Genomic DNA, 26010 nt, shown 5'->3' with positions numbered 1-26010 from the left:
ACTCTGTTTCCCCCCTTTATCTTCCCTTGTGCAGCATCCTTGTCTGGCCTCCATAATTCACTTTTTGTCATGACTCTTGTGCCCTCCTCATTCTGACCTTTCTCCAGTCTCCGCTCCTTAGTGCCAGCTGTCATCATTTCTAACATTTGGATCAGAGATCCCCTCACTAAAACAGCCTGAGAGCCTGGCTCCTTCCAGGACGAGTGCCCCAACCTGTTCTCTAGCTGCTGGAAAAGACCCCTCTGTTTCTTAAAAGCCTGTTAAGTTCCTTCAGGCTAGTAGCTACACCTTGTTGCATACTTCCTTGGAAATAGAGAGTGCTTTCAAATTAATTTCTCACTTATTGCTATTAGTGGTCCCAAGAAAAAGAGATGAAATTGCAGCATCTTGTAATGGTGAGTTTTTTAGGTCTAGGAGAGAGGTACTGTCATCTTTGTTTACTTGCTGAGAGACGACAGAAATGTGTAGTTGTGGGGTATGAAGGTAAAGTCAGTGATTATAGCTAAAAAGCAAACGTCATTTAAGGTCACTGGTATTTTTGGATGTTGGAATGCAGGTTTTGTTTTACATAGAAATTTTCCCTCTAATTATTTTACCATCTTATGTTCTGGAAAATGATTCCATGTTGCTTTAAATTCATCTTTCAGTGAAGTTCTTATTTCTTACCAAAAAATGACAGCTTTGTCATTTCTTACATCGTTTTTTCCTTTCTGTTGCCAAATGCCCTCCAGACTTTCCATGTTGGTGCGGTAAGCTAGACATTTTTAGTTTGTAGTGATTGTTTTCGTTTGTGTTTGTATGTTTTTGTGCCCATAGTCACTTCTGTAATGTTCGTTTCTGAGTTTCCTTTGGGGGGATTAACCTGCCACTGAAGTGTCAGCTTCCCTGTCATGGGACTGTCCTTGGAATGACAGGTTTTCCTTCCACCATAGGATCTGCCACTGTGAAGGAGATGATGAGAGCCCCCTGATCACCCCCTGCCACTGCACAGGAAGCCTCCACTTCGTGCACCAGGCCTGCCTGCAGCAGTGGATCAAGAGCTCCGACACGCGCTGCTGCGAGCTCTGCAAGTATGAGTTCATCATGGAGACCAAGCTGAAGCCACTGAGAAAAGTACGTGGGAGGAAGGGATGCTTCACCCTTCCTGAAACCAGTGACCCCCAGAAAGCTGGTGTCTCAGATCATGAGGTCATGGCTTGCCTGCGTTCATTTCCTTAAAAAGCTGGGGCTGGTGCTTACATTTGCATTGTAGAGATTGTTGTTTCTGGTGCTGATTTTCAAGTCCCTCTTCTCAGGAAGAAGCTCTTTCTGACCATTCATAATCCTTCTTTTCCCTTCAAAGTAAGACTGCTTGCTTGTCGGTGTCAGTCCTCTGGCCTTTGACTACAGACTGTTTGTGACATATCTTAGCACCTAATTTTATACATATTAACTGTTGACGTCCTGCTTCTCTGATTAGGACTGTCTGTTGGAGATTAGTATCTCCCCAGCACCCAGCACAGTGTAGCATACAGTAAATTTATTTGTATACACCCATGATAACTATTTGCTGGATGGGAGTGTGAGTAGGTGGATAGGGAAAAGAAAGGAAGCACAAACGTTGCGTGATGTGCAACTGTCTTCAGAAAGGACCCACAGGCATTGCATGACACGCAGCTGTCTGGAGGCCCATGTCACTGCTCCCTCTGAGAGGAGCTTTGTCCGCCACACTGGCTTCCTGTTTAAATTTTGACTGTTTCATATATCTCTCTAGATGCCCAGCACAAAAGGTTTTGTCTGGAAGAATAAAAAACTGTTCCTATCTCAGAACATTAATATATAAATTGCAAGATAAGTCACATAATCAAATACTAGCCAATTAAATGCTAAATGGTGTGCTGGTAGAGCATAACAGTCATTCAGAAAAGGAAATGCTCATTATGAGCTAGAGTGCTGGGGAAGTGGAGCGATGGTAGCCTCATAGGGTGTTTGGGTTTTAGAGCAGTTCTTGAAGGATCACTAGGATTTGGAGGCAGAGTGCAAGGAGTTTAGAGAGGTCAGGCTGTCTGTGGAGTAAAGCATACCCTAGAAAGGTGAAGGTGAACATTGACAGGGTGTCAAGCTACGTGCGTTGTAGGAAGTAGCAGGGAGCATGGGGCACTGAGGCACTGACTCTGTATTATAGGTAGGAAGACCAGGGAACTTGCTAGTGTATAAAATCCCAGCAGAAAACAACCAGATTTAGAGAAGGCTTGTGCAAACTGCTTAAAAAAATGTTTTGCCCAGTAGAAACCTTGTAATTTATTGGGTGCCTACTCTATGCTAATCTCTCAACATGGGAAGTCCTTGAGGCTCTATTTTCAACTACCCTGCATAGACTCATCTGGAAAGAGGCTGTGACTAGGGTTGGCAAAGGATATGTGCAGAGTGTTTACACATTGTTCTTTCTCTCTACCTTTATGTGTTTTCTCCTGATTCGGAAACCAGTAAATGAAAAAGAAAGTCTGGCTATTTGGAGTAAATTAATGAGCTCCTAGAGGAGATGGGACTAGCAGAGTCTGCTTGTACCAGGAACTCTTAGCGTCGATTTCGAGCTGTTGCTGCCAAAGTAGCAAGGACCAAAGAGTGAGCGTCTTCTGCCATTCACCTTCACAATGTAGTGTGACCCATCTGCTAGTGTGTTGTGGCATCATCAACCCTCTTCTTCCGCTCGTCCATGCCAGTCAGCACATCAGGGAGACTTAAAACGTAGTACCTGGGTCCTGGGCCAACATACTGTTTTCATTAGGACTGAAATCATAGAATTCTTTATCAGGCCATCTTATGTCTGCTTGCAAGAATAAGCAGACAAGGGGATTTTTGATGGTAGTTCTGCATTCATCTTGATCCTGGCTTCTTTTCATTGCATAGAAAGTTGGCTGCACCTGGTACCTGGTTGAAGCCAAGTGGTTTTAGGAGAACAATACTTGGGGGAATGCATCTAGTTTGGGAAGGGAGAAGTGGGGTGGAAAGCCAATCTTACCTACCTACAATGCTCTCACCCCACCGGAGCCCTTCCCCAGAAGCCTGAGCCTCACACTCTGTGTTGTCTTTCTAGTGGGAGAAGTTGCAGATGACGTCCAGCGAGCGCAGGAAGATCATGTGCTCAGTGACATTCCACGTCATTGCCATCACATGTGTGGTCTGGTCCTTGTATGTGCTCATTGACCGTACTGCTGAGGAGATCAAGCAGGGGCAGGCAACAGGTGAGTTCTCAGGCTGGAGCAAGCTCAGCATGGGGGCCGGGATAGCTCACAGGAGTCCTGGGGTCAGAGGATTTTCCAGTTAGCCAAAAACGTCTGGGTTTCCGGAGGAGGGACATCAGTTAGGAGGCACTAGCCTCCTTTTTGGCATTTCTTTTGCTGTGGTGGTAGTTTTTGAAACCCAGTCAGGAGAGTTCATATTCTGGAGCATGAGAATCTCCGCAAACTACATCCTATAAAAGCAGGAAGTAGCTGGACACTGTCTTCCACTCTTCTTTGACTGAGCAACATTGGATGAGTTGTGAATCCATTGGTCAGTGGTGCAGGCTTGTGGTCCCCAGATACTTGAGGCTGAGGGATGGAGGATTGCTGAGGCTCAGGAGTTCAAGGCTGTAGTGTGCCATGATCACACCTGTGAATAGCCACTGCACTCCAGCCTGGGCAACATAGCAAGACTCCATCTCTTAAAAAACAACAACAACAACAAAGAATCAGTTGATTATGGGAAGTTCAGAAGTTGTGTTTTTCTTTACTTCATATCTTAAATAAAATCTAATAGGCTGAGTTTTTCCCTTCCAGGAATCCTAGAATGGCCCTTTTGGACTAAATTGGTGGTTGTGGCCATCGGCTTCACCGGAGGACTTCTTTTTATGTATGTTCAGTGTAAAGTGTATGTGCAATTGTGGAAGAGACTCAAGGCCTATAATAGAGTGATCTATGTTCAAAACTGTCCAGAAACAAGCAAAAAGAATATTTTTGAAAAATCTCCACTAACAGAGCCCAACTTTGAAAATAAACATGGATATGGAATCTGTCATTCCGACACAAACTCTTCTTGTTGCACAGAGCCTGAAGACACTGGAGCAGAAATCATTCACGTCTGATTGTGTGCGGGTTGTCATTTTCCTGGACATCCATGAAGAGCTGAAGGAAATTGTTTACTGCCAATTGTATACCTTTCTTATGTCCTTTAATAGCATAGACTGGACAGGTGACTATTTATAGTGGCTTCTCTTTTTCTAAACCCTCCTTAGTCTCCTAGAAAACCTTCCTGTGGGCCAGGCATGCCTGGGTCCTGCCTCTGCCTGGCAGCTCTGTGGGAAAGTGGAAGACCCCATGATGACATCATGGGGAGCCAGCAGAGTTCCTGCCCATGGTCTTGAGCTGAATGAGAGAATAAAATGCCAATCCCAAGGGAAGAGGAGGAGCAGGGGTGCCCAGGCCCTGATACCCAGCCGCCTCCAGCTTGCAGTGGTCCCCAGCCTGGAGCAGAGCATTGGGGAGTGTCTAGCCATGACGAGAAGATTCCCTCTGCATCACGGCGAACCCCAGGAGATGGTATTGAAACAGACCCCCAAACACAGACTCCTGCCTGCCCTCTGCCGATGCTGCCTCCTCCATGCTCTTGAGCAGGTGGAGCCATGGTGCTCTGTGGTGGCGCATGATTCACTGAGCAAACAGCACTTTACAGAAGAAAATCTTTATTTTGTAATATGTGTGTCCAGCGGGATTGACACTCAAAAAAAGTCTCACTTAGAAATCTTCCCTTCCTTACCTTTGTATCTCCTTTACATCATGAGAGATCAAAAATCCATTTTGCCTTACATATGCTAAGAAGCGTGGCATTCTTTCTGTTCATAAAACAGACTCATGACTTTTAAGACAGGACAAGCAGGCCAGAGGCTTTTTTTTTAATCACAGATCTCATGGGAATTAGTGGATGCTAAATGGCAATTAAAGCATGATTCCTATGCTTTTGAGCCTGTTTTATGACAAGGTGTTACTTTGTAGACCTGGCCCATACATTTCTTTTTTGTCAACACTGAAAAAGAACAGTTTCTGAGATCGAAATGGAAGGAAAGGAAGTGAGTAATGACAACAAAACTGAATATTTAAAAAATATTCCTTTATAGTTAAATCTCTCCAGTTGGTGTTGGCTTCACATTGAAAGAGCAGCCATGTGCCACCCTGGCCGGGGTGTGTGCACTGCATGCAGGTTCTCCCTTGCATGCAAGATGGGTGCTGGCCCACTGTGAGGCTTCTGCTCGGGGAAGTTCTGTGGAGTCACTACCAGGGCCAAGAGGCAGGTGGGCTGGCTCTGGGACGAGGGCCAGGTGTGAGCAAACTGCCAGGGTCCGCTGTGCCACTGCTCCCCGGCCACATGCCCGCCCAGCTGTCGCCTTAACCAGACTGAACAGACAGGATCCTTCAGGGCCCTTGGCCCCACTCTCAGTGCATTCTGTCATCAGGGATTACCACCTGTACCATTTTCATAAAACAAAACCAAAATCACTACCATCAAATGGCCTTGTCCCTCTAAAAAGTCTGCTTAAAATTCTGTTTTTAAAACCCAGTTTCCTAGTTTTCCAGGCAAATAGTTACCTCCGGGAAAGTTGCTGGGGGGGCCTGAAGCACAATGTAGCGCAGATGCTTCCTTTCCAGGCCATTCTCTCACCCAGCCTGCACGGAGGAGATGGGAGATGCTGGGGGTCCTGCCCTCAGTCTTTTTGGGCCTTAGGCGTTTCGTTCATCCTGCTAAGGGGATGAAGCAAACACGAGGTGATTCCTTTGCCTTTCAGAGTGGAAGCCCTGGAGTTTGTTTTGAAGGCCAGGAGGCTGAAGGATCTCTAAGCTACGGTGTGGGCTTAATAGCAGCAGGCTTTGTCCTCCTGTCTCCTCCAAGCCAGTGTCTGATTCCTTGGCAACACAGGTCTTAGTCTGTGGAGTGGCTCTGCTGTGGCCTTCCTCTGGCCGGGCAGGCACTGTCCAGCCATAGCCAGCTCCTGAGAATAGGTCAGCCTCTCCTTTCTGTCTCCCAGGGCACATCCAGCCCGTGCCTGTGTTCACTGTGCCCCGAAGTGCAATTACCCATACCCCTTCTCAGCCTGGGGACCCCAGGCAACCACAGACTGTCCACTCAGGGGAGCTGAATCCCAGGTCAGCCCTGCCAATGTCCCTTAGGAACTGCCCAGGCAAGGCCCCTGGTTTTGTATACTTGTTCCTGCCACCCAGCAGTAGATGAGTGTTTCAGGTGAAGACCAGGATAGATTTTCTAAGTGTGAATCCCCACTTCACATATGGAACCCCTTATGCTGAACTTGAAAAGCACCAAGACTTCCTGTAGACAAGAAAGTGCTTAGGTAGGGACAGCCCCTGGGCATCCCACCCAATGTAGCTGGCACCCCACTATGGCAAAGGTGCCTTGATAACTGAGCCCTGTATCCCTCCCATGCCCAGCCAGATTCTCATGGGAAGCCCTCTCCCTTCTTTTCTGCCTAACACCATCTCATCGTTTCTGGCCTCACTGTGGACAATCCACACACATTCTTCTTTCCTCTCCTGGCGGGGCACAGAGCCACCCCCTTGCCTTTTCTTTTCTTGAAGGTTCTAGTTCAGCTCCTGATTCATCAGACCCTTCTAGCCCCCTGCATCTAGCAGTGAAGCATGAAGCCTGGTGGGGATGTGGTACTCCCATCTGGTGTGGCCACCAGCTCTGCCAATGTTCCTGTAGCCTTGGAAAACTTGCTCTCTCGGTTCTTTTGGGTGCTGTGTACTCCCCAGCTTCCCCCCTTCCCCCCCCATTTTGCACCTGGGTTTAGTGAAAGGATGGCATTTGGTTGACCCATATAGAAACCCAGAATGAGGTCTCAGGGCCAGGAGGCCTGGTATTTGTAGGCCAGGGAAGGGGAAGAGGCAAGTGGTCTGGGGTATCACCAGCCAGCCCTCTCTGATTTGGCCTCTACTCCCCATAAGTCACAGTACCATAAGCAGGCTTCTGGCCTCAGCAATTTGGTCTTTGTGCCCAAGTTTATTGTGAGAATTTCCTGAAAACTCTATAAAAGGTCTCTTCCTACTGTAGGCCTCTAATGTTTCTCCCCTTTTTGCTTCAGTCCACTCTTCAGTCTTGTAGGCCTAGTTTTCAAACCTGCACATGTGTCCTACCTGGCCACAGGCATGCAGGCCTCAGGCAGCTGGGCCAGTTTGGGAGCCTCGGGTGATGTCTGCACGATCTGGGGCTGCCTCTGCACCCCTGCTGTGGGCTTCAGGGTTGGAGAAGGGCTGGGACCAACCGGGTGAGATCCACAAGTCTCTGGATGTGGCTGAAGGCAAATACACAATTGAAGTACTTTCTGTTTTGAAGTGCTTTCCCTTTTGAATCTGGTTTGAAACATGCAGCTTCTGTCTCTAGCCCAAGGAAAGACCAAAACATAGGGAAATAAAAGCATTTATCTTTGTCTTGGAAGTAATTGTTGAAGTTGTGCAGTTGATCAGTGCACAGTTAGATGCAATGTTTATAGAAATTGATTGTTAAACCAAATTTACACTGGCATGTGTGGTGTAGTTTCTAAAAGGCACTTCACATTTGAAATTTTTCTTACCTTAGAAAGTTTCTAGTGATCTAAATGTCTAGTTTTGTATTCTTTTGTGTGTGTTCACTGTTTCTCAGTATTACCACTTGAATAATTCTCTGTACAGGGGGGTTTGTGCTATACACTGGGATGTCTAATTGCAGCAATAAAGCCTTTCTTTAAAAAGGAGTTTTGCCATGAGAGTGTTTTGCTGCAGGGAGGCTGGGGACGTTGGCAGGCACTCCGGTTCCCTGACCTCCTTTCCAGGGTTGTCTGGCTTACACATCAGGAAATAGTATGCGGCTCCTGGAGGTGTCTGTTTTCCTCAGCCTCCCTCAGACACGTGTGTCGGGGGTGGGCTGGCAGTGTCTGGACGAGTGTGTGGGATGGGAGTGAAAACAGGCATTTCTCACAGGTGTGCTTGCTTCAAACATCCCGTTCCTACCTGAGCTCACCACCCTGAGAGAAGGCAGACTCGAGTCTGTCGCTGCATGACCATGGAGCACTAGATTATGATCCAGCCTTATCCATAGAAATTTGTCCTGACCCACAGCCCAGCTGAGAAAGCACCAGGGAGACCAGCAGGGTTGCCAGTGACAGCTCTGCCACGCTGCATCCCCTGGCTCTGGCAAGGCCTCTGAGGGAAGGCAGTGCCACGATCCTCAGACAGCAAACCGCCCACAGGTCTGGGAGTGCTGAGGCCTGGTTGCAGCTTCCCTACCACATGCATGGCAAGGGTCAGAGGTTGCAGGAGGTGAGGGGTGGGAAGCCAGGCTTGCCCAGATGTGCTGCTGTCTCAGAGGTGATCCACAGAATTGTTCCACTCTGGGCTGCCAGCTGACTTGGGAGCTAGGCACAAGGCTGCTTTGCAGAGCCATGGTCACAGCTGTCCCCAGGAGTGGAGGCCTGCAGCTCCAGGTGGGGGACAGGCCCGCAGAGCTGCTGAGCCTGTGTGGGAAGGTCTGTGCTTGCGGCCAAGAGGAGGTGGGGATGGCCCCTGAGCTCCGTGCTGAGGAGGGTGGAACCGGAAGAGGAACCTGCCCCTGTAAGAAGGTGAGGGAGGTGGCTCTCGGGGAGCCACTGTGCTTTTGGGGAATTTTAGGAGTTTTTCTGAAGACACACTCGACAGTGTCTGGGTGCAGGCAGGCTTGAGAGGATGGAACCAGCCACACTGATGGGGTACTGGCTGCCTGTAGCTCGCTGCCACCAGGGACTCCCCACAGTCTCTGTCGGGGTAGCAAACTGCTCAAAAGCAGCTGTTTTTGTCAATAAACTATTAGCAAACAGCAGTGCACATTCACTTAATATTATCTACGGTTGATTCACAGCTACAGTGGGCAAAGTTGAATTGTTGGGACAGATAGTATGGCCTACAAAGCCTACAGTATTCACTGTGTGCCCCTTTATAGGAAAAGCTTGCCAACTCTGTCAGTGTGAAGGGTGTCCCTAGAGTTGTTGCTGCACAGCCTGTGTGACATCTTAATAACAGAGGCGTTGAGTCACTCTCCAGGGCCTTGGAAGTGCCACTGTGACATGCAATCCTGCCACACCTCTGAGTTGCTTGGCCTCGAAAAAGCCAAGGGGCAACTCCTCACCACTGGGGTGTCAGCCTGGTGGGAGGCACATGATCCCTGGGGCTCACCTCGAGCTCAACCAGATGACCATGGAATGCGGCTGTCTTTTCTTTGGAAAAGAGGGAGTGTCTGATGAAGCACTAAGGAGAGCTTCTGTAAGGTAAAATCAGTACAGCGGAGGGAAAGGCATATGACAAGCAAAGCTGTCAGCATGGTGATAACAAAAGAGACTGAAAATCAAACCTGGTTCCTTTCCCAGGGAAAGGCCCCTCAGGACAGTCAGGGGCAGAGGCTCTGTTACAAGGTCCTGCTCCCGGAGCCACAGCTATGCAGTTGGAGGCATCACGCTCATATAGGTAAATACATAGAAAGTACTATATATATGATGTATTTTGCTTACTGCATTTACACATTACCTCACTTTGCAACTTGCTTTTTTCATCTAACAACCAGTTTGATATTTTCTATGTTAGAACCCAGGCATCTACCTTATTCTTTCTAACTCATGCAGGATTTCTTTAAATCCTCATGGATACAGATTTTTAGGTTGTTTACTGATTTTTGGTATTAGAAACAAGGCTGCAGTCCACATCCATGTCATTTATTTTTGTACACTTGGGGGTGTGTGAGGGAGGGAGGGGCACTTCTGAAGATACATTTCTAGAAGTAGAAAAAGGGTAGATGCATTTGATCTTCTAAGTTGCAAAACTGACCTCTAAAATGATTCACTTACCTTCCTACAGTGAGAATATGAATCTTTCCTGAGCCACATCACAAGTGTTATTTTTAAAATTGTTCCTAAAATGATTGTTACTCCTTTGTATGTCACTGAAGTTTTACTCTCCATTTCTCAGATAAATGAAATTGAGCATTGTTTATTTACTGCCTATTTCTACTTCTGTGAATTTCCATGGCTTGGCCATTTCTCTTGGCTTTTTTGCATTTTTACATTGAATTATAGGTGTTTTTTTCCTGATGTAGGGACACTAATTCTTTGTTTTTATGTAAGTGACACATATTTGCAATTTATAAGTTTATTTTCTTGTTTAAAAGATTTCATTTTTTAGAGCAATTTTAGGTTCACAACAAAATTAGGAATAAAATGAGGCAGGAGAATAGGGTCTGGAGGCAGGTAACCTAAGGGCTTCCTACAACTAAATAAAAGGGAAAAACCCTAATTTTCTACACCAAGTAAATAACTTTGTAACCTCCCTTCATCCTCTTCATTTGCGTAGGGTATACACCAAGTAACCAATGGAAACCTCTAGAGGGTATTTAAACCCCAGAAAAATCTGTATTCAGGCCCTTGAGCCACCTGCTTAGGCCTGCTCCCACCCTGTGGAGTGTACTTTCGTTTTCAATAAATCTCTGCTTTTGTTGCTTCATTCTTTCCTTGCTTTGTGCGTTTTGTCCAATTTTTTGTTCAAAATGCGGTACACCCTCCACCGGTAACAAAAGTAGAGATTTCCCATTTACTCCTGTCCCTACACATGTACAGCCCCCCAGTTATCAATATCCCCCCCCCCCCACAGTGGTGCATTTATTACAATCCATGAGCCTACACTGACTCATCCTCATCACTCAAAGTCCATAGTTCAAGGTTCACTCTTGGTGTTCTACATTCTGTGGATCTGGCCATGTATCCAACATTATAGTGTCATACAGAGTAGTGTTATTGCCCTGAAAATCCTCTGTGCCCTGCCTATTCATCCCTCCCACTGCCCTAGCCCCTGGCAATCTTTTTACTGTCTCCACAGTTTTGCCTTTTCTGCAATATCATATCTTTGGAAACTTATGCACCCTTTTCAGATTGACTTTTAGTGATACACACTTCAGTTTCTTCCACGCCTTTTCATGGCTTGATAGCTCATTTCTCTTTAGTACTGAATGGTATTTCCATTGTCTGGATATTATTTATTTACTCACCTACCGAAGGGCATCTTTGGTTGCTTCCAAGTTTTGACAATTATGAACAAAGCTGCTCTAGACATCCATATGAGGGTTTTTGTTGGGATGTAAGTAAATACCAAGGAGTGTGATTGCTGGATTGTGTGGTAAGAGTATATTTAGTTTTGTAAGAAACTGCCAAGCTGTCTTCCTAAGTGGCTATACCATTTTGCATTCTCTCTAGTTCCTGTTGCTCCACATCCTCCTCCACATTTGGTGCTGTCAGTGTTCTCAATTTTGGCCATTCTAATATGTATGTAGTGGTATCTTGTTATTGCGTTATTCTAAATTTGCATTTCCCTGATAACATAGAATGTGCAGCTTTTTTTTTTTTTTCTTGAGACAGAGTTTTACTCTTGTTGCCCAGGCTGGAGTGCAATGGCGCGATCTTGGCTCACTGCAACCTCCACCTTCCGGGTTCAAGCGATTCTCCTGCCTCAGCTTCCCAAGTAGCTGGGATGACAGGCATGCATCACCATGCCTAGCTAATTTTATATTTTTAGTAGAGACAGGTTTTTCCATGTTGGACAGGCTGGTCTCTTGACCTCAGGTGATCTGCCCGCCTTGACCTCCCAAAGTGCTGGGATTAAAGGCGTGAGCCACCACGCCCCCCAGCTGTGCAGCTTCTTTTCACATACTTACTTGCCATTTGTATATCTTCTTTTGTTTGTTAAAGTCTTTGGCCCATTTTTCAATCAGATTGTTTCCTTACTGTTAAGTTTAAGAAGGCTTTGTATAATTTAAGTAACAATTCTTTATCAGATGTGTCTTTGTAAATATTTCCTCCCTCTCCTAGTGTGGTCTTTTGCAGAGCGGAAGGTTTTAATTTTAATTAAGTCCAACTTACCAATTATTTCTTTCATGGACCATGGCTTTGGTGTTATGTCTAAAAAGTCATAGCCATACCTAGGTCATCTAGATTTTATCCTATGTTATGGGAATTTTATAGTTTTGAATTTTACATTTAGATCTATAATCCATTTTGAGTTAATTTTTGTGAAGAGCATAAGGTCTGTATCTAGATTCATGCTTGTTTGTTTGTTTTTGCATGTGGATATCCAGTTGTTCCTGCACCACTTGTTGAAAAGACAATCTTTGCTCCATTGTAGTGTCTATGCTACTTTGTCAAGGATGAGTTGACTGTATTTATGAAGGTCTATTTCTTAGGCTCTCTATTCTGTTCCATTGATCTATTTGTCTATTCTTTCACCAATACGGCACTATCTTGATTACTGTAGCTTTATAGTAAGTCTTGGAGTTGGGTAGTATCCATTTTCCAAATTTGTTGTTTTCCTACTATATTGTTGTGTTAGCTGTTCTGGGTCTTTTGCTTCCCTATCTAAATTTTAGAATAAGTTGGCCGGGCGCGGTGGCTCACGCCTGTAATCCCAGCACTTTGGGAGGCCGAGACGGGTGGATCACGAGGTCAGGAGATCGAGACCATCCTGGCTAACACGGTGAAACCCCGTCTCTACTAAAAATACAAAAATTAGCCGGGCATGGTGGCGCGTGCCTGTAGTCCCAGCTACATGGGAGGCTGAGGCAGGAGAATGGCGTGAACCCGGGAGGCGGAGCTTGCAGTGAGTCGAGATCGCGCCACTGCACTCCAGCCTGGGCAACAGAGCGAAACTCCGTCTCAAAAAAAAAAAAAAAAAAAAAAAGAATAAGTTTGTCAGTATCCACAACATAACTTGCTGAGATTTTGATTAGGATTGCATTGAATCTATAGGTCAAGTTTTGAAGAACTGACATCTTGACAATATTGAGTCTTTCTGGGGAATATTTACTTATGTCTATTTCTTTAGTTTCTCTTTGATTTCTGTCATCAGGGTTGCAGTTTTCCTCATAAAGATCTTGTATGTATTTTATTAGATTTAAACCTAAGTATGTATTTTTGGAGTATTAATGTAAATAGTATTTTGTTTTGAATTTCAATTTCCACTTGTTCATTACTGGTGAATAAGAGAGTGATTGACTTTTGTATATTAACCTTGTATCCTACAACCTTACTGTAACCACTTATTAGTTCCAGGAGTTTCTTTATCCATTCTTTTGGATTTTCTACATAGATGAGCATGTCATCTGCTAACAAAGACGGTTTTATTTCTTACTTCCCAGTACATATACCTTTTATCTCTTTTTCTTGTCTTACTGCGTTAGGTAGGATTTCATGGTTTTTCAACATTATAAAAATTTTTAAACATAAAAACGTTTAATTATATAGTGAGAATATATATAAACCCTAGAATCTACAATTAACATTTTTCTCCGTATGCTTTACCACAGATTTCTATCTATTAATCACTGTATTCACCCATCAACTTAGGTTTTTATGTATTTCAGAGTCAACTGCAGCCATAATTATACTTCACTACGAAAGTTTCAGTATGCATGTCGTTCACTAGAAGTCAGTATTTGCTCATGGTTCTTGTTGATTTTGGGGTAATATTTACATACAGTGACATGCGTACATCTGAAGTGTACCATTTGATGACTTTTGATAAATGTATCTATCTAGGTAACCTAAACCCTTATCCAAATATAGAACATTATCCTAATCCAGAAAATTTCTTTTCTTTTTTTTTTTTTGAGACGAAGTCTTGCTCTTGTCCCCCAGGCTGGAGTGCGATGGCACGATCTCGGCTCAAGCAATTCTCCTGCCTCAGCTTCCCGAGTAGTCTCAACAGCTAATTTTTGCATTTTTAGTAGAGACAGGGTTTCACTGTGTTGGCCAGGATGGTCTCAATCTCCTGACCTTGTGATCCACCCGCCTCGGCCTCCCAAAGAGCTGGGATTACAGGCATGAGCCACCACGCCCGGCCGCCTGGCTAATTTTTGTATTTTTAGTAGAAATGGGGTTTCACCATGTTGGTCAGGCTGGTTTCGAACTCCTGACCTCAAGTGATCTGCCCACCTTGGCTTCCCAAAGTGCTGGAATTACAGGCGTGAGCCATCGTGCCCGGCTGTGATGTTTTTATTCAAGCAAGCAATTAACTTAGTTGATCTCAAACTGCAAACTATTTGAAAGTTCAAATATCACTTTGGTTGTGCAATGATTTGAATGTATGTGTCCTTCCAAAAATCATGTGTTGGAACTTAAACCCCAAGGTGATGGCATTAGGAGGAGGGGCCTTTTGAGAAATGATTAATTCTTGAGGGTTCTGCCCTCATGAATGGATTGATGTCCTTATAAAAGAGGCTTTTGAGAATGTTCGCCCTTTTTTGCTCTTCTGCTGGGTGAGGACACAGCACAGAGGGCATCCTCTTGGGAGCAGACACTGATCCCTCCCTTACCAGACACTGAAACTGCCAGTGCCTCCTCTTAGACTTCCAGCCTCCAGAACTGTGAGGAATCAATTTCTGTTCTATATAAATGACCCAGTCTGAGGTATTTTATTATAGCAGCACAAACAGAGTAAGACAGGCTGTTTTATCCTAAATTGGGCTGTTTGCAGTTTGCCTTATGTACATGTGTCTTAGGGGTCATCCAGAGGTTTAGACAGTCTATGCACAGAATTTGGGATTCTCCCTCTCCTGTGGTAGCAGTGGAGCTGTGCTACTCAGATACCCAGCTCCAGGGAACCAGAAGGACCAGCTGCAGAGAACATAATTAACTGACGATCTCAGCTGCCACACGTTTGGATCCACTGTGGGGTTCATGCCAAACTATTGCTGTCATTTCTGCCAGATGTAAGATTTCTGTGATGGTGACTTTGAGGACTCTTCATTAGCTGGCATGAGACTTTTTCAGAGGTTCTCTGCCATCTGAAGCCCTTCCAACCCAATCCTTCTCTGTCACTTTTGCCAATGTCAGACCTGCTTCACCACCCCTGCCTACTCCTATTCGTTTCTCCTCTCTCCTTGACCACATGGCCTTGTTGCCTAAAAGTTGGTATGTTCATTCTCACAGTGGCATGGAGCTGAATGCCTCTACCATAGCTGTATGTTTATGTCACCTGTCCCGAAGATCATTCATAAGTGTGGTGGGAAATTCTCCGAGGGATGGCAGGGAGTCTGGGGCATTAAGGGGCTGGACCTCAGTCTCTAGTCCCCACCCCAATAGTCAGGTCTCCTCAGAAGACCTTGTGGCTTCAGGAACGCATGCACACCTCCCCCCTATGCCATGCTGGCCCTGTAGAAGCCTTTACCCAGACACTGAGCTGATGGCCTGCCACACTGGAAGCACCTTCCAGAGACATGGGAGACCCTGATGACATGATTCCGAAGCCAGGGGCTGGAGGGCTGGGAGTTGGGCATGTGAGCACGAGGAGAATGGGTCACCATGCCCAGGCTCAGAGCGGGCTCTGCTACTTGGGGCTGGGGAAAGAGAATGCGTTTTTATTTAATTTAATTTATTTATTTATTAACTATTTGAGACAGAGTCTCGCTCTATTGCCCAGGCTGGAGTGCAGTGGTGCGATATCCACTCTCTGCAACCTCTGTCTCCCAGGTTCATGCAATTTTCCTGCCTCAGCCTCCTGAGTAGCTGGGATTACAGGTACCTGCTACCATGCCTGGCTAATTTTTGTATTTTCAGTAGAGATGGGGTTTCACCGTGTTGGCCAGGCTGGTCTTGAATTCTGACCTCAAATGATCCTCCCACCTTGGCCTCCCAAAATGCTGGGATTACAGGCGTGAGCCACCGCGCCCTGCCCATTTTTATTTTTTATGTCATGTTAAGAACCCTGCCTCAGGAAAAAATAAGCCCCCAGCTCCCAAGACAATGCCTAATATCCATTAGCTAGGTGCCCTTCCAGGAGGAAAAGGAGAGAACAGCTGAGTGCTGGTGCCTTATGCCAGCCCTGGGGCACAGACATAAATAAAGTGGGTTTTCTGTCCTTCCAGGGGCTCCTGTCCCAAGGGAGAGACCACAGAGGGGGCAAGAACAGAGGTTCTGACAAATCCAGGGTAGAGACAGGAACCAAGGATGCCTTCCCAGAGGTGGTGACATTTGGGATGTGTTCCAAAGAGAGTAGACACTGCTTGAGGGAAAAAGCACCTTCTATCCAGACTTGGGTGGGGAGGCTTTTGCCTTGATAAAATCACGGTGACTATGGCTTTTTTTTTCTCTTGGTGTGGGAGATGGCAGTGAGCTGTTTGGGGTGATTGGAATATAACACATGGAACAAGACCCATTTTAAATGAACTGATTTATTTTTATGGCAACCAATTCTTAATTCATTCAATAGTAATTGAATTGGGTACCTACTATGTGCAAGGAATTGGACTAAGCACAAATAGAACAGAAAATAATCATCCCATGTCTCCAACAAGAATAGACATCTATCAGTGGTCGTGATTTGCTGTTGCTGCTTGGTGTGGAAATGCTGAGCTGGGTGTGGACAGGACGCTGTGCAGTCCTGCTCTGTGTAGAATGGGTCCCTATGGTGTTTACACTTTGATCAATCTATGCAGTTCCCTGAAGATCAAAGAATAAATGGAAAGGTACTGGCCTCGGAGGAAGAGATGTGACTGCCAAGAGGCCTGGCCAGACAGCCTGCCAGGCAGGCTGGAGTCCATCTGGCTGGGGCAGCTGGCCTTCCCACAGTGAGACTGGCAGTGTGCTCAGATGGCCACACTGTTCGGAATCCGGTCTGGGGACAAGTAGTAATATGGCAGCTGCTTCTTCTTGTTGCGCTCAGCAATCACGCTGACAATGGCCTCGAGGTTCTTGCGGAATCGGGCCATGGCTTCCTTCACAGGCTTCTCGATAAAATGCTCTTCTGGGTACATGCCCAGGAACAGCTGAGGGCCCAGACATGGACACACACATAGGTCAATCCACTACCCGTGTAAACTGACAGGCCTGTCTCATCCCAAGGGGCCAGCCACCGTTTGGGAGATGAAGGAGGGAGCATCTATTCACCTCCCCATATTCACCCTCTGCTGCCTGACAAGAGGGCCTCGGGAAGGCAAGTGTCGTCGCCTCCAACCTGCTTCTCTAAGGAAGGCTCCAGGGCTGGGGCTTCATGGATAAGTGGGAAAATAACTGCCTGCTGCCAAGTGGTTACGAGATGATGCAGATGAAGCTGGGGGCTGCTGGTGTTTGCAGCCATGGTATCCTGCTGTCTTGGGCCACCCCTGCGCAGCACTCTCACCTCCCATCAGGGGCGCTGGGGCCAGCACTGGCCTCTCCAGCCCAGGAAGGCAGAAAGCGGGCCAGGGAGCCTGAAGGGGTGGCTGCCCTGTTGGGGTCCTGTGCTTATTTGCATTCTCACACAGATGTCTGCGGGGCAGAGCTAGATATCATTTTAAAAAAATACTGTATTGGATTAAGATCACAAAGCTTCTGAGCTGGAAAGGTCCAAGAAACATAGGCTATTGATAATGGGATTTTGAATTTAGTTTGTGGAGGGCAATTCAGTATCAATATTCTTTGACCAAGGAATTTGTCTGCTAGGAATGTGTGCGGTCATACTGAACACATGTGCAAAGCCACAAAAACAAGGATGTCCAGTGAGGGACCAACACATTGGCCGGGAACAACTCAGACACCCAGCAGTCTGGAGCAGGTTGGACTGGTCCGGCCATTCTATGCAGTACTGAGCTACCCCAAAGCGGGTGCATCCACGAAGACACACCGGATTCAGTTGTTAGGTTAAATGAGATGCACGTGTCCGGAAGGAACCCAGGAAACTCTTGGTCATTCCCTCTGGAGTACCAGGGTAAAACACATGTGCAAGAACTTTGTCAATAGCTGGGGGGAGGGGGCGTCACACACGACCCTCTGGTGACAGTGAGCAAAGCCTGGGCTGTGTGCTCTCCTGCCCTGCACACCCTGAGCTCTGTCCAGGCTGAGGCCGGGGGACCTGGTGGCGGCTGCAGCCTTCTGGGCCCTTCCAGCCTTGGAAGTCAGGATTCCTTTGCTCCAAGTGAGCCTTGGGGCCCGAGTCACAAAGCCCTGAGGCTGAGGAACCGCTTAACCTGGGGTGACCTGGGGCTGTGCCCCGCCCTGCCCAGCTTCACCTCGTTTTCCTGGAACTGGCTCAGCGCCCACACTGCACCCAGATGCCAGCAGGAGCGGCCGCGGTCGGGCAGCGTGTCCACGATCTGCTCAATGGTCACCACGCCCTTGGCAGTCGGTGGCGGGGCTCGCATGGTTGGGGGCGCATTGGGGATCCAGGAGCACCAGTCGTACTGCGGAGACGACCGCCAGCAAGCGTGGGCACCCCCGAAGCCCTGCTGCCCAGCTGCCCCCTGGGCCCCGTCCTCCCCGTGCCCCCCAACTCCAGCGGGCCCTGCAGTCCGTCCATCCTCTTTCCCCGCGGCCAGCGCCCTTGGCTGAGCGGGCAGAATCCATCCTGCAAGTCCCGTGCCAGGCCCCGAGGCTGTCCGAGGGTGCAGTACGCGTGCAGAACCGGGGCGGGGGAGGAGGCAGCGGCCTTGAGAAGGGAGCCCTGCCCAGCGGGCCCGGCCCTGCCTACCTGGCCGAAGTTGACCGCGGCGTGCTGGGCGGAGGCGGTGAAGATCACCACGGTCAGGTACTCCGACAGCTGCTCCCGGCTCTTGACCGACTTGGGGAAGCCTAGGGTGGAACCACCGGCGGGCTGAGGCCCAGTCCCTGAGGACCCCAGGGCCCGGCGCCCACCCCGTGCCCGGATTCCCTGCCCCAAGGCCGGAGGGCACCCTGGGCAGGACACCCCGGAGGGGTGGCGGAGGGGCCAGCGCTGCCGACTGCGGGGGAGCCGGGTCCGGAGACGTCCCGGAGGCCCTACCTGAGGACTTGCGGCCCCGCATGCCGTACACGTAGACATCGTTCACGAAGTCCTGCAGCTCCGGGTCCTCCTCCACCACCTGGTCGCCCTCGTAGTAGATGTCTACCACCTCGGCCGTGAACCTGGCTCAGGGGGCGCAGCCGGGGTGGGCGACCCAGCCAGGTCTGCGGAGCGGTGCCCGGCGGCAACCCCCTCACGGACGCTGGGACTCCCCCACCCCGTCCCCATTCAGCGCTAGCGGTGGAGGGGCCAGGCCCGCCCCAGGTAGTCAGGCAGGGGTCCCGGCTCCTCCCCCAGGACCACCGCCCCGCGGGCGCTCACGTCCTGATGGCTTCCCACACCAGGAGCCCGTCGTCCCGGTAGAAGTAGTAGGGGATGTCTTCTTTGCTCTCCATGCCCCGGGCCTTGATGGCCTCGGGAAAGCACAGGGAGGCATAGGTCAGGTCCTTCATGGCCCTCTGCACCATCTGCACGTGCCCACCGCCCCCTGTGGCGTTGGCCTGGAGTGGGAGGTAGAGTGCCCTGAGCGGGTGGCTCCTCCCACAGCTGTCCAGACCCATCCCTGAGGAAATGTGCCAGGGGAGGCGAGGAGGCCAGGCAGGCAGAGGTGCAAGCCCTTGTCCTGTGAGATGGGGGAGGGATGTTTAACGCAGAGAATGACAAGGGCAGCCGGGTGGAGAGGTGCTAGGGAGGAGCCTCCCGCCCAATCCAATGCAAGGGACTGAACCGTGGGGCTGCAGAGTACAAGAGGGAAGGGTGCGCTCCCAGCCACAGGAGGGCAGCAGGCGTGGGCAGGTGTGTGGGGGACCCCAGCACCAGCGGGCCTGGGCTGTGAAGTCTGCTCTAGTGCTGAGCACACGACCCTCAGTCATTGCTCTCAGTGACCCTCAGTTTCCAGGACCCATGCAACTCTGTTGAGGGCCTGTTGTGTGCTCAGGTGAGGGCTGGAGAGACCCACAAGGAGGGATCCTGGTCCTGATCCCGATCCCGGCTTCTGAGTGATGCAGACACACTCACAAGCTCACTGGCACATATGTGTGTCCACGTGCACACACACACATGCAAATACACCCAGGGGGCTGGGCTGTCGGTGCCACAGAGGTTTTGAAGAAGGACTTGGGTGCTGGGGTGCCAGAGATTGGTCCACGGTGGGCATTCAGCCCAAGCAGGACCAACCAGAGCTGCCCCCCAGCACTTTCTGTTTAGATGCGGCTGGGAGATAATGGCCACATGAGAACCTGAGGTGGAGCTACTATGATGAGCTCCTGTGCCCTCTCCCATGGGGGCCTGTCTGCAGCAGGAGAGTGTGATGCCAACACAGGTGAAAGAGACAGAAAGAGGGAGCCAGTGTGCATGCACCCTGGGGCATTGCTTGAGTCCCTGGATCCATTTCTGGCTGAGGCCCCCGACCCTCTATTGTGTCCAGGTATTTGAGATAAGGCATGTCTTGTCCAGCTGCAGCTGGTTTGAGTTGGGTTTTGTCATTTGCAGCCCAAACAGTGTCTCAACTTCAGTGGTCATCTGGCCTGGTCACTAATGGGCTGGGGAAAGGAGGAAGGTTGGGGCAAGGGCCCATGTGAGAGTCCAAGCTTGGTAAGGCTACAGAGGGCTCAAAACGAGGTGGGGTGCTACCTGAGGGATGCGAGGGCTGGGCAGGGCCTGGAGTCCCCGATGCAGGAGACAGTGGGTTGGGAGGGTTGGGACCCGGGAAGCAGAGTGCTGGGGAGGTCCAGGTCAGGGTGGCAGGGGTGTGGCAGATTAAGAGGCAGACACAGGTTCCTGGTGCGTAGGAGGTCAGGGGGCCATAAGGAGTGTGTTCCAGAGGGGGGTCTACACCCAGGTCCCAGAGGCTGGGAGAGGGGAGGGGTGGGAGGAGGGGACCAGGAGCCATCAGTGAGAAGGAAGACCTGGTGGTGCGCCTGGAGGAGTGCTCCTGGCTGAATGGCACGGGCTGGAGACATCAGGAGGATGCTGGAGCCAGTGCTCTGAGCAGACTCCAGCCTTCACCCTTCCAGGCCTCCTGAAAGGGTGTCTAGATCTCAGATAGGGAGTGAAGGCGGCCAGGCTGGGCTCTTCCAGGCAACAAGTAGGGTAGGAGGGCACCCACCTTGTCAAAGAGGCCACACTCGCAGATGAGCTGCTCACGGGCCTTGGTGTTGATTGCAATGGTGAATCTCACGTGTGCCACCAGCAGCTGGGGAGGGGAGAGGAGGAGGCCTCAGAGGGGGCCCAGTCAGGTGACCTGGTGCCTCAGGGACCCGCAGCTCCCCCACCCAGGCCTGCCCTATAGGATGATGCTGGGCGCAGGGAGGAAGTGAAGGCTGGGTGCTGATCTTTCTGCTGAATAAGTGCTGGAGGCCTGCACCCCTCTGATGCTTACTAAGCATGATAATGATTCAGAGGGTCCTGGCCAGCACTTGTACAATGCTTACCTCTTTGCTCCCTGAGTTCACTGTCTTAATCTGACCATCATTCTGTAAGGCAGCTGTACTATTTGACCTGTTTTACTGGTGAGGAAACTGAGGCACATGGGTACTTTTAGCATGCAGTCACCCCAGCAGCCAATGCTTGTAGGATTCGAGAACAGGGACGGAGAGTGATGGCAGGGGCGGCCATCAGCATCAGCCGAGGATCACCATGAACTCATTTGCCTTTTCCAACTCTACTGGCTGGCCAGCGAGGCCCGTGTGTCAGGCCCATGCCCCAGCCGCGTGTCCTGGGGAACAGCAGGCTCCTAGCTGTTTTCTTCCTTTAGGGGCATTACTGACTCTGAGAACATCTCTCCAGGGCTCCCTTTCTGCCACCCACTCCCAGCCACAGGTCCCCCTGTGGGATGTCAGTGATCCCTCCCACTCCACATCTCAGATGCCCTCCCATAGCAGGTGGGGCGGTAGCTGGCTGTACCTTGAAAATGGGGTGCACAGCAGGCAGCTGGCGGTACATTGCAATGCCAAAAACCTCAGACACCAGATGTGTTCGCAGAAGGTGGGTGATGGTCTGGTGGACGTGGAAGTCACTGGAACGCACCCAGATTTTGGCCAAAAGCCAGTCGTATTTTGCATCCGAAGGGAGGAAAATAGGGTTCTCATCTCCCGGGATTTGGTTGAGCTGATACATTGGGGGAAAGGAAACACACTGCTATATTTCACTTCAGAGTATAGTTGTTGGAGAACTTCGCCTCTTGGGAAGTTCCAGAAGTATCTGAATTTCTTTAACAGTGACTTTGGAATCAGAAGAGCCTGGAGGGGGTAAAGGGCCCTGCGGTGGTATTTCCTGTCCCAGCCATATTACTTACAACCTGCATGACTCTGGATGACACACTGGGCTTTCTAAGCTCCGGCTTCAGCATCTGTCATGTGGGGACAGTGATCGCTCGGCTCACAGTTACTCAGGAGCTGGCAGCATGGAAGGAGCGGGCAGGCCGAAGGCCCAGCAGCGGAGGGGGAGGATCGCTGTCCCCCTCTTCCCTCCTTGCCCTGCTCCCTCTTCTACTGCCTCTCCTTGGTCTCTCATACTTTCCTCCCTCTCCTCTTCCCTGAAATGCTGGAGCTCCCCAGGGTCTGCCCTGGTGCTCCTGTCTTCTTTTCTTGCCCTAAGTCAGCTCCTCCTGTTTAAAGGCTTGGGGCCCTCCTGGTACTGAGCCTCCCAGATCAGGGTCTGCAGCTTGAGCTCTGCCTGGAGCCCACACCTGTGGCCAGGCACCTCCTGTAGCAGAGGCTGGACCTGTCTTCCCTTTCCAGTTTCCACTCCACACTGGGACAAGGTGAGTTTTTTTCTTTTCCAAAATGCAAATCATGTCATGTTAACTGCCTCCTCAATCACCTCTTAATGCCAGAAAATAAAATCCCCAAGCTCTGTGGTGACCTGGTTGCTGATGCCTCTGTACACACAGCCTCACTTTCGTGCCCCCACACCAGCACCCAGCCCCAGGTCCCTCCATGCCAGCAGCCCTGCACGTTGCCCCCTTATTGAGAGCCCAGCACAGCCTCAGCACCCGACAGTGAGTTCTCACGGGAGCCGGCAGCAGGTGCTGGCATTGCCCATTTTTACATGAAGACATGGGGTATTGGAGGGGTTGACAGAAAGAATGAGGTGGGTGGCAGGGCTGCAGCCAAGAGCGGCCAGGAAGGGGCATGGCCAGACTTTAGGTGCTGGGAAAGACCAGTGTCACTGCAGCACAGTGGTCATGGCTGGGGAGGGAGAACTGTCCCAGAGCACACAGCTGTGTCACTTGCTATAAGTATTGTGGAAGGTGGGGTCCTTGGGCGTCTCTCCCTCGAAAACAGTGCTGTCCAATAGACATATAATGCTACCCCACACATGGAATTGTATATATTCAGGAAGCCATATTAATAAAAATAAAAGGAAACAGGTGAAATGCCGGTGAATAATATAATTTTATTTTACCCAATATATCCAGAATATTATCACTTCAACATGAAACCAATCTAAAACTATTAAATGAGATATTTCACATTCCCCACCTCCTTATTCTAAGTCTTAAAAATCAGGTGTGAACTTTGCACTTGCAGCAGGTTTTGGTTTGGACGAGCCAAATCCCAAGTGCTCCAGAGCCCTGGTGGCCAGTGGCTCCACCCTGGTCAGAGAGACCCCAGAAGCCTCAGCACTCCCTGAGGACCAAGGAGGGGGGAGGGAGGAGGGAGAGCAGAGTGTGACTTGCACATTAGGCGTGCCTGTCTGTTTATACTTGAGATTAGTTGGCTGCTTTTAAATACCAGACAGTTTCACATAAAAATTTGAATGACCTGGTTTTCTTGAAAAATTAGAAGGTCTCAGAACTCTGCACCCAGGTTCTCACAGAACTACGCTCTTGTCCCTTTTACAGAGTCCCAGCTCTCAGGGTCCCCACTGCCACACCCGTTTGCATGAGATGCCTGGGCCACTGATACCTGATCTGTGCCCTAGAATGCTGGGCTGCCTGGCATGCTCTGAGACACTTTCTGACATGTCCCCACATGCTCTGACATGTTCCTGATGGCTCTGGGACACTGACATGTTCCTGATGGCTCTGGGACACTGACATGTTCCTGACATCCTCTGGGGCCGAGGAGCCCCCCTGTTGTGTGCTAGGGGCTTTACCCATGCTATCTCACTTAATCCTCACTTTGACCCTGCAAGGCAGATATTCCTTGCTGTACCCATTTTACATGGGGGGAAACTGAGGCTCCAGCTGGTTTAGCAGCTCTCCCAAGTCACACAGTAGGTAAAGAGCTCAGCCGGCAACATGATATTGAACAGGCAAAAATTGGAAGCAATCCCCCTAAAAACTGGAACAAGACAAGGATGTCCACTCTCACCCCTCCTATTCAATAGAGTACTGGAAGTCCTAGTCAGAGCAATTAGGCAAGAGAAAGAAATAAAAGGGATCCAAATGAAAAAAAAAAAAAGAGGAAGTCAAATTATCTTTGTTCATCCATGATATGATTCTATACCTAGAAAACCCTGAAGATTCCTCCAAAAGACTCCTAGACTTGATAAACAACTTCAGTAAAGTCTCAATGTTATAAGTAAAATGCTTGTTTAGAAACAGAATGCTTGTTCCTCGGTACTGCAAGGAAAAATCAGCATTTAGACAAAAAGTTTTTTTAGCAAGCCAATTTTACTTTCTGCAGAAAGGGTGCTCCTCGCAGATGGAACAATGGCGAGAGCACACCTGAATAATGGAGAGAAGCAATTTTTATTCCTTACGCAGCTTGTCCCTGCTACCGTGTCCTGTCTCCATTGGCTGGAGCCAAACCTCACAGTCTAAACTAAAACCCGACTGGCTAATAACTTAAAACTTTTCTAAATAGGTAAAAGCAGTGGAAAGACAAAGGAAAAGAGGAAGTTGCTTATGAAAGGACTTAGAAAAGTAATAACATTTCCAAATAAGGAAGGGGCATGGGCTGCAAGCTGGGACATGCCTGTGAGCACGTCCAGCACAAATATCTTGGTTAAAGTACAAGGACATAGAATGTACTCATTCCCTTATATCTAACAGCTACATATGATAGGGCTTAACAAAAAGTTATTAGCACAAAGCGAAAAGGCTTAAAAAAAGTTAGTCTTTAGAAAAAACTATTATTTCTAACACATAATTTACTCCTTAACAAAAAAAAAACTTTTGACTTTCTACACTCAAGATACAAAATCAGTGTACAAAAATCAGTAGCATTTCTTTTTATTTGAGACGGAGTCTCACTATCACCCAGGCTGGAGTGCAGTGGTGTGATCGCAGCTCACTGCAACCTCCGCCTCCCAGGTTCAAGCAATTCTCCTGCCTCAGCCTCCCAAGTAGCTGGGATTACAGGCAGGTGTTACCACACCTGGCTAATTTTTGTATTTTTAATTGAGACGGGGTTTCACCATGTTGGTCAGGCTGGTCTCAAACTCCTGACCTCAGGTGATCTGCCCACCTCGGCCTCCCAAAGTGCTGGGATTACAGGCGTGAGCCACTGTGCCTGGCCTAAAAATCAGTAGCATTTCTATGCACCAACAATGTTCAGGTTCAGGCTGAGAACCATATCAGGAACGTGGTGATCTCAGTTACAATAGTCCCCCATACACAAAATAAAATACCAAAGAATGTATCCAGCCAAGGAGGTGAAAGAGCTCTACAGAGAGAACTATAAAACACTGATGAAAGAAATCATAGATGACACAAAAAAATGGAAAAACATCCCAGCTAATGGGTTGGAAGAAAGCAATCTACAGATACAACACAATTCCTATCAAATTATCAACATCATTTTTCACAGAATTAGAAAAAAAAATCCTAAAATTCATATGGAACCAAAAAATAGCCGAATAGCCAAAGCAATCCTAGGCAAAAATACAAAGCTGGAGGCATCACATTACCTGACTTCAAACTATACTACAAGACTACAGTAACAAAAACAGCATGGTATACTGGTACAAAAATAGGCACAGAGATCAATGGAACAGAACAGAGAACCCAGAAATAAAGCCATATACCTGCAACCAACTGATTTTTGACAAAATCAACAAAAATAAACAATAAGGAAAGGACATCCTATTCAATAAATAGTGTTGGAAAAACTGGCTACCTATATGCAGAAGAATGACGCTGGGCCCCTACCTCTCACCATATACAAAAATTACCTCTAGATGGATTACAGACTTAAATGTAAGACTTCAAACTTTAAACATTCTAGAAGAAAACCTAGGAAAAAATCTTATGGAC

The 26010-nt window shown here is 48.6% G+C and overlaps 2 protein-coding genes and 1 long non-coding RNA gene across 24 annotated transcripts in view, besides 4 other annotated features; 2 read left to right on the top strand and 1 right to left on the bottom strand.

Annotated features, from left to right (window-relative positions):
- The window catches only part of MARCHF8 (membrane associated ring-CH-type finger 8), a 140323-nt gene extending 132564 nt beyond the window's left edge, over positions 1–7759 (top strand). For 14 of the 15 annotated variants that reach the window (NM_145021.6, NM_001401646.1, NM_001401645.1 and 11 more), the window contains 3 exons: positions 933–1113; positions 3077–3224; positions 3801–7759. In NM_145021.6, coding sequence (NP_659458.2) covers positions 933–1113; positions 3077–3224; positions 3801–4105 — 634 coding nt within the window. In that variant the 3' untranslated portion in view covers positions 4106–7759. Of the gene's footprint in view, positions 1–932; positions 1114–2466; positions 2605–3076; positions 3225–3800 lie in introns of those variants that run through there. The other variant, XR_007061947.1, reaches the window with a different exon arrangement.
- Positions 7760–9222: 1463 nt separating this feature from the next.
- Positions 9223–17776, top strand: LOC102724323 (uncharacterized). The gene is made up of 3 exons (NR_120674.1): positions 9223–9304; positions 9404–9500; positions 17492–17776. It is a non-coding gene; the product is annotated as an uncharacterized LOC102724323 (long non-coding RNA).
- ALOX5 (arachidonate 5-lipoxygenase) overlaps positions 16227–26010 on the bottom strand; it is a 71902-nt gene continuing 62118 nt past the window's right edge. For 3 of the 8 annotated variants that reach the window (NM_001320862.2, NM_000698.5, XM_047424937.1), the window contains 7 exons: positions 21711–21914; positions 20914–21000; positions 19128–19306; positions 18807–18928; positions 18516–18616; positions 18058–18228; positions 16227–16836 (listed from right to left, as the gene is read on the bottom strand). In NM_001320862.2, coding sequence (NP_001307791.1) covers positions 16657–16836; positions 18058–18228; positions 18516–18616; positions 18807–18928; positions 19128–19306; positions 20914–21000; positions 21711–21914 — 1044 coding nt within the window. In that variant the 3' untranslated portion in view covers positions 16227–16656. The remainder of the gene's footprint in view (positions 16837–18057; positions 18229–18515; positions 18617–18806; positions 18929–19127; positions 19307–20913; positions 21001–21710; positions 21915–26010) is intronic. The other 5 variants (NM_001320861.2, NM_001256153.3, NM_001256154.3 and 2 more) reach the window with 5 other exon arrangements.
- Positions 18635–19403: an enhancer, noted in NCBI's record as "H3K4me1 hESC enhancer chr10:45938389-45939157 (GRCh37/hg19 assembly coordinates)". NCBI's record gives its function as "activates a minimal SCP1, AML or CMV promoter by ChIP-STARR-seq in primed H9 embryonic stem cells {active_cell/tissue: H9 hESC(primed)}" and the evidence as "EXISTENCE:reporter gene assay evidence [ECO:0000049][PMID:30033119]".
- Positions 19404–20174: an enhancer, noted in NCBI's record as "H3K4me1 hESC enhancer chr10:45937618-45938388 (GRCh37/hg19 assembly coordinates)". NCBI's record gives its function as "activates a minimal SCP1, AML or CMV promoter by ChIP-STARR-seq in primed H9 embryonic stem cells {active_cell/tissue: H9 hESC(primed)}" and the evidence as "EXISTENCE:reporter gene assay evidence [ECO:0000049][PMID:30033119]".
- Positions 20531–20762: a silencer, noted in NCBI's record as "fragment chr10:45937030-45937261 (GRCh37/hg19 assembly coordinates)". NCBI's record gives its function as "represses an EF-1alpha promoter that drives an FKBP-Casp9 reporter gene in an ReSE screen in K562 erythroleukemia cells {active_cell/tissue: K562}" and the evidence as "EXISTENCE:reporter gene assay evidence [ECO:0000049][PMID:32094911]".
- Positions 23412–24611: an enhancer, noted in NCBI's record as "MED14-independent group 3 enhancer chr10:45933181-45934380 (GRCh37/hg19 assembly coordinates)". NCBI's record gives its function as "activates an origin of replication core promoter dependent on BRD2, BRD4, P300/CBP and CDK7 cofactors, and independent of MED14, by STARR-seq in HCT116 cells {active_cell/tissue: HCT116}" and the evidence as "EXISTENCE:reporter gene assay evidence [ECO:0000049][PMID:35650434]".

The sequence above is a fragment of the Homo sapiens genome, chromosome 10 (assembly GCF_000001405.40).
Source record: "Homo sapiens chromosome 10, GRCh38.p14 Primary Assembly".
NCBI classification, from domain to species: domain Eukaryota; kingdom Metazoa; phylum Chordata; class Mammalia; order Primates; family Hominidae; genus Homo; species Homo sapiens.
Note: the sequence above shows the minus strand (reverse complement) of the source record. Positions and strands in the feature narration are given on the sequence as shown.